The following is a 6,083-nucleotide window of genomic DNA, read 5'->3' on the forward strand; positions in this document are numbered from 1 at the left end:
CGAAGCCCCTTTTCTTATCTTCTGCTAACCTCTCACCTTTGAAATCAGTTGTCTAACTTCAAGTGTTGCCTTCCCAATTAATGAAGTTATCTACACAATTTTCAAAATGTGACTCCATGTCTATGAGTTTGTTGTTAATATTACTGGAAAGACAATATAATGTGAAACAATAGCAAAAAGCAAAAATTGAAGGCACTAGCACCTTCTTTGTGGGACAGGAAAACTAACAAAACTTGGTGATTTGTATTAACTCAGGACCACAGTAATCTCATAAAATGGCTCTTTCTTGGATTTTGCAAGATGGTTTCATTATTTAGTGCACCAATCAAAAAGATAGCCAAGTTTTTAATCCAGGCCAATTGAAAGCAAACAATCAATGCAATTAAGAAACTAGGAAAAAAAGGAGAAATTCTGATGTCCAGCACATATATTAAACTTAATTATATTTTTCATGATAAAGTAAATTTGCTCAGTGGAGTCTCAAAGTATGTTATTGTTATAAATTATTTTAAAGTTTTCAAAGATAACTTTCAAAATTAAAGTTATAAAAGATGACTCCCATTTTCTCATTTTCCTCCTCAGTTTTTAATGAGCATACATTTCTCACTTCATCCATTAAGAAATGTTTGTGGTTTAAAAGTTCATGTTGACTGCAAAAATGGTGATAGAAGAAAGCTCTGAGGATATTGCTATAAAGTTAATAAATCATCTTCACTCATCAACTATCTTCAACCCGCACAAGTTATAAAGGATTATTTTGTTAGCACCACAGGGTACACAATTTAAATTTAGAGAATCAGCCCTAGCAGAATAAGTTTGAATTCTGGAAGCTTCTAGGTCCCCTTGCCTTTAAACATTATACGCTTCAGAGTCCTTACATTTTCAATTGACAGAGAAACAGAAAATCATTCTAACGTTTACCGTAGCTTTTCCCTCTAAGGGCTTCTTGCAAAGAATTTGCATGTTGCAATTATACCTCAAATTAGAGATTTGAGTTTCCCTGCCTGGTCAATTATAAGACCCTTGGCCTTACCAGAGAATGAATACACGCTCTCAACTTTGCAAAGGTCTGAGTCAACAGCTTGTTGGGCTTTGAAGAACCTCAGCCGTTTTTGCGGCTGGAGCTTTTTCTCCTTTTCGTGTTTCAGGACCACTGCTGGTTTTCATTCATCTTCATTCAGTGGGTTTCATGTGACATTTTGGGGCTGGAAACATAATGTGTCAGAAGATAGCTGCAGCTTCCTACTGCGTTATTGTTTCCTTTGTCAGAAGGTGAGTGAGCACAAACATTTTCCAATTGCTCTGATTTTCAGACAGGTTTAGATCTACTGAGCCATCACTGATGCACACGCCTATACCATTTAGAAACACTTGATATAGATTTCAGAAGAGATTTCTAAGTTCAGTTCTATACAAATAAATGTACTATCATTTATCCTTTTTCCAGAAGAGGCAGAGATTTCATATCCTCTCCTTGGTTTACCCCGATCAGTATAAAAGGAATAGATACGGTGCTTCAAAAACACTTCTCATTTGGGTTCAAAAACAGCAGCTCACCTTTCTGCTGGAAGCAAAACATTATCATGATCAACAGAATCTGTCTGTTGGGATTCAGTTCTGCAATCCTTTCATGGATCAAATTCCCATCAGAATCAGAATTAAGTCCTAAGTGAAAACTTAAATTACATTATAATACTCAGCCTCATAAGTTCCACCAAGGCTTTGCCAAAGGCATTGAATGATTTATGATAAACTTCAGAACCTCAGTCCCCTCTTCCCAGGGTGTCTTCAATTAATTCTTTGAAGAACTTTACTCTTGATTCCTTGTTGAACTGAAGTAATAAGGGGTTTAAGGCCTTTATATTTTTCCTCGAACTTTCTCTTCTTAACTTAGAATATCTGCAAGTGAAATATAATTGATTGGATCTTTCTAAATCTGTCTTTTATAAAATTATGGTTAAATATTATCTTATTCCTGCAGAATTTATATGACTTTTAAGTATAAATCTCTATGTCATCTTAGTTATAAAAATCATATCATTAGAAATTGCCAAAATGCATTACACTTCAGCCTGAAGAGTAAGGTTCCTTTCAGTTAGAAAATAGCTCCCCAGGAAATTCCATGTTGGTCTGTATTTGATTCCCCAGCCGCTTGGGATGCAAATGCATGCCATTGACTGTAATAAGAATTGGATGTATGTCTATAGGTAGACTGTAAAATTTTAAAGTTTGATTTGTCTCCTCATATGGAGAAACTGAATCCTAGGAAAATTTAGAGACATTTCCTAGATCACACATTTCATTAAGGTTAGTGTGGGTTCTCTTTCTATTATGGGGTGTGGCATCAGAAAAATGTGGTTTTAAACACTGGGTCAACTAGTAATATGCCTTATATAAGTCATGGCATAGTCTACTTAGTGATGCCATGAATAACCCACTGAGCTTCATATTCTTAACTAGCATATTCTTAACTTATCTATATTCTAAGATAGCTGAGAAGATGAAAAAATATGTATATAAAAATTCTGGCCCCAACACGCATTAAATGATGGTAAAGATTATAATTGTTGATCTTTTTATGTAACTAACCTCCTAAAATTATCTTTCTGCCCTTTTCTCCCTGATTCATTCTTCACACAGCTTATGGATTAACTATCTATAGCACAGGTCTTAGTATGATTCTCTTTACTTTAAATATTCTCAATGGCTTCCTATCATCAATGAAATTATCTTAAAATTTCTCACCCTAAATTGCAAAGCCCTGCGTATCAGGCTGCAGCCCACCTTTCCAAAAATCATTTTAACTGTTTTTCTGTAATTACACTATTTTCATGTCTAGCTAAATTGGTTTACATTCCACAGACAATTCTCCAAATTTCTAAAACCAAAATTCCATCTCCCCTATAAGCGCTTTATTTATTCTTCCAACCAGATGCAACATTTCCCACAGAAGTGGGGAAGAGAAAGGAAAAAGCACCTACTGAATATATTTTCTGTGCAGAGTTCTTTCTTCTGTGCTGGGCACTTTAAATTTGTTATTTCATTAGTGCTTCTCTTATGACATGTTATCTTTTGTTATAACAAAAGACATGTTTGTTGTTGTCCATTAAAGCTGTCCATTAAGGGCAGAAATAATGTCTTAATCTCTAGCATAGAATATTTACAAGTAGAAGGACTTAGGGGGAAAATGCAAACTGAACACCTTAAATTATTATCAATAAAAGCACTAGCCAGAATGAGGAGTTGAGGGGCATTTGAAGCAACTTGGAAAACCATGGCAGCTTATTTGGGGTAGAAAGGCCCTCTTTTATCCATCATAAATCATCATCAGATTTATACTTTGTTAGCAAAAGGGGGCTGAAGTACAACATGTCATATAGTGTGTTGCAATTGTAACAGGGCCTCACTCTTCTTTCTTCTTCCCAAGGCCTAATCAGTTACATAAAAAAAGAAAGAAGAGAGGAGACGAGAGAAGAAAAGAGAAGACAAGAGAAGAGAAGAGAAGAGAAGAGAAGAGAAGAGAAAAGAAAGGAAAAGAAAAGAAAACAAAAGAAAGGAAATTACCACGAAACCAGTCCTGGAAAATGTAAAATGTTACTTGCATCATCATGTGAAAAAGCTCAAAAGATGGAAAAATATTTTCTAAGTACATTTATTTGGACATAACATAAGTATCTTCCAACATATTTTAGCGATGGAAGATGTGGTGAATTGAAAAGATGAGTTCAGCTCTACATATGCTTTATGGTCACAAGTTGCCACTTTTAAAACATTTATATACTCTTATGCATATCATATAACTGAACATGAATGTTAGCATCTAAGTATATGTATCTGATGAAAATGCCAGAGTTATAAAATCTTTTTTATGTTTTTTTAATCACAAAAATATCAAAATGCACCTTGGTTTTAGGGAATAATTTTCTATCACTGGTCCTGAGAACCTCTAAAATTATGGAACAATCGTTCCAGACTCTCAATACCATTAAGTTCAATGAACTATAAACTCCAGGGCAAAGAACACAGCTTTTTTGATCAACAATGTATATTTAACGTCCAAGCTTAATGACTGAAGAAAGTAAACTCCCTAAAAACATAAGTTTTTTTTTAATGAATCAAAAGAAAAGGAAAAAGAAAAAGATATTTAGAAAGGACCCATAGTTTGTCATCTGAATGCAGCAGACATTTAAAATGGACTCTATCTTTTCAAGAATATGAAATCTACTGACCCCTTTCAAGGGGTTCCCCCACCTTTCATTGCCTCCCTCAGCAGAGGGGTTGCTGGATGCCATTACTCAGGGAAACAGTTTTGATTCCTTCCTGATCGCCTATTATCTCTCTTGTTTTATTGAACCAGGGTCTCTCTGCACCCTGGCAGAAGCTGGCAATTCATCAGGATACCATTTAGGGAATCACTGTGATGCTTAGTTTACAGTCCACAAGGCAGCTACTGGGAGAATCTGGATCAATGTGTTTTATGCCTCTGAAATTTGGGCAGCAAAGAAAGAGTGCTTCAGTTATAAACATGCAATGTCCATAGTTCTCATCATCCTTCTGAACAAGCAGAAGCTCCCCTTTTCTGAACCCAAATGGAGCAATCCAATTACAAAGTCATTAAATCCCGTTATAAGGTGGTTCATAGGAGTTCCTGTTTCCAGCAAAAGCCTTTTCTGTGTTCATCCAACATATATTCTGGCCTCTTGCACTCAGTTTACAAGGTTTCTAATTAAGCTCCAGAGAGGATGATATAGTTCACTGAACTGAGTCACTATGCTACAACTGGGAAAGAAGAGGCATTCCTATTTTATCAGAAAAATAAACACTTTAGTTTCATTTCCTCTGCCACACATGTTATCTCTTTGTGCTGTCACAACATTTTTTATAGGTTTTTATTTCAAAGGATTACCTTGAGATTACTGTCAACGCAAGCCAGAGAGACATCTCCATACAGAATATAGGGGTAATATTTTTTCTCCTAAAACATCCTGCTACAGACAATATAATATCATATAATATCACCGAAATAATCTCCCCTATTGAGAGCAAAGAGACAGTTTTCAATAGTACTTTGGTACAAAATTTGAGGAAAATAAAATGTTTATCAGTGACAAAAATACAATTTACCAGCTTGATTTTTAAGTCAAAAATTTAACCTTTTAAACGATTTCAGAAGCTCCGCTAATTTCTACTGTTCCTTGTAACATCTGTAGGCAAAATACAACATGCTGGGTCATAATTCATAGCTTGGCAAGAAAATGTTGCTTAAAAACATAAAGGTCCTTTTCTTTTTATGCAGAGGAAAACATTTTAGTTATTATTCAACTCAAGTAAATGCTCATAACCATGGAATTAAATATTTCTGAAGGGTTCATTCCTGAGCTTTCTTCTGGGTTGAATTAGGCTTTCTCAGAACTATACTTCATGTCACCCACATGTCTTAAGAACTGGTGCCTTCTGCTCAGCTGTGCATTTTTTTGCAGACATGCCGGATATCTACGCAGTAAGTGCTCTGAAACTTCAAAGAGACACAGAGCATTCTGTGCTTTCTCTTCCCACCATTCCATGTAAACACCATGAATAACCAGACCATTCTTATGCCAAAAGGCCCTGATGGCTTGACTTTTTGGTCCGTTAATTGTTCACAATCACTCCTTGCCTGTATTGTGCTTGGTAGGACCACCTTTCTGCAGCCAAAATCCAGCCACTTACCACTGCATATACTTCCTACAGCAGAATAGATACTGACCAAAGCCTAGTAGAAACCTGCATGGCATCCTGTCTCTTAATACTTAATGCTACCATGCCCTCAGAGTATTCTTATTCAGAATCTAAACAAGCATGTATTCAGAGGCTACAATGTATCAGGCATTGGTGGTGTTAGCAGTCATAGTTCAGTGAATGGGAAGAAAGATAAAAATCCATGCCTCCCAGTGACTTTAAGTCCTGGTAGGGACAAATACAGAAGATAAGTAAATAAACAAGATAACTGTAGATAGTAATAGGCTCTGTAGGCAATAAACCTCAGGATAATGTGATAGAGAATGACTTGGGGATTGGTAATACCCAGATGGGGAGCTGGAACA

The 6,083-nt window shown here is 35.8% G+C and overlaps 1 annotated feature.

Annotated features, from left to right (window-relative positions):
- Positions 5,309-5,851: an enhancer, noted in NCBI's record as "OCT4-NANOG hESC enhancer chr7:76513437-76513979 (GRCh37/hg19 assembly coordinates)". NCBI's record gives its function as "activates a minimal SCP1, AML or CMV promoter by ChIP-STARR-seq in naive H9 embryonic stem cells {active_cell/tissue: H9 hESC(naive)}" and the evidence as "EXISTENCE:reporter gene assay evidence [ECO:0000049][PMID:30033119]".

The sequence above is a fragment of the Homo sapiens genome, chromosome 7 (genome assembly GCF_000001405.40).
Source record: "Homo sapiens chromosome 7, GRCh38.p14 Primary Assembly".
Lineage (NCBI taxonomy): Eukaryota > Metazoa > Chordata > Mammalia > Primates > Hominidae > Homo > Homo sapiens.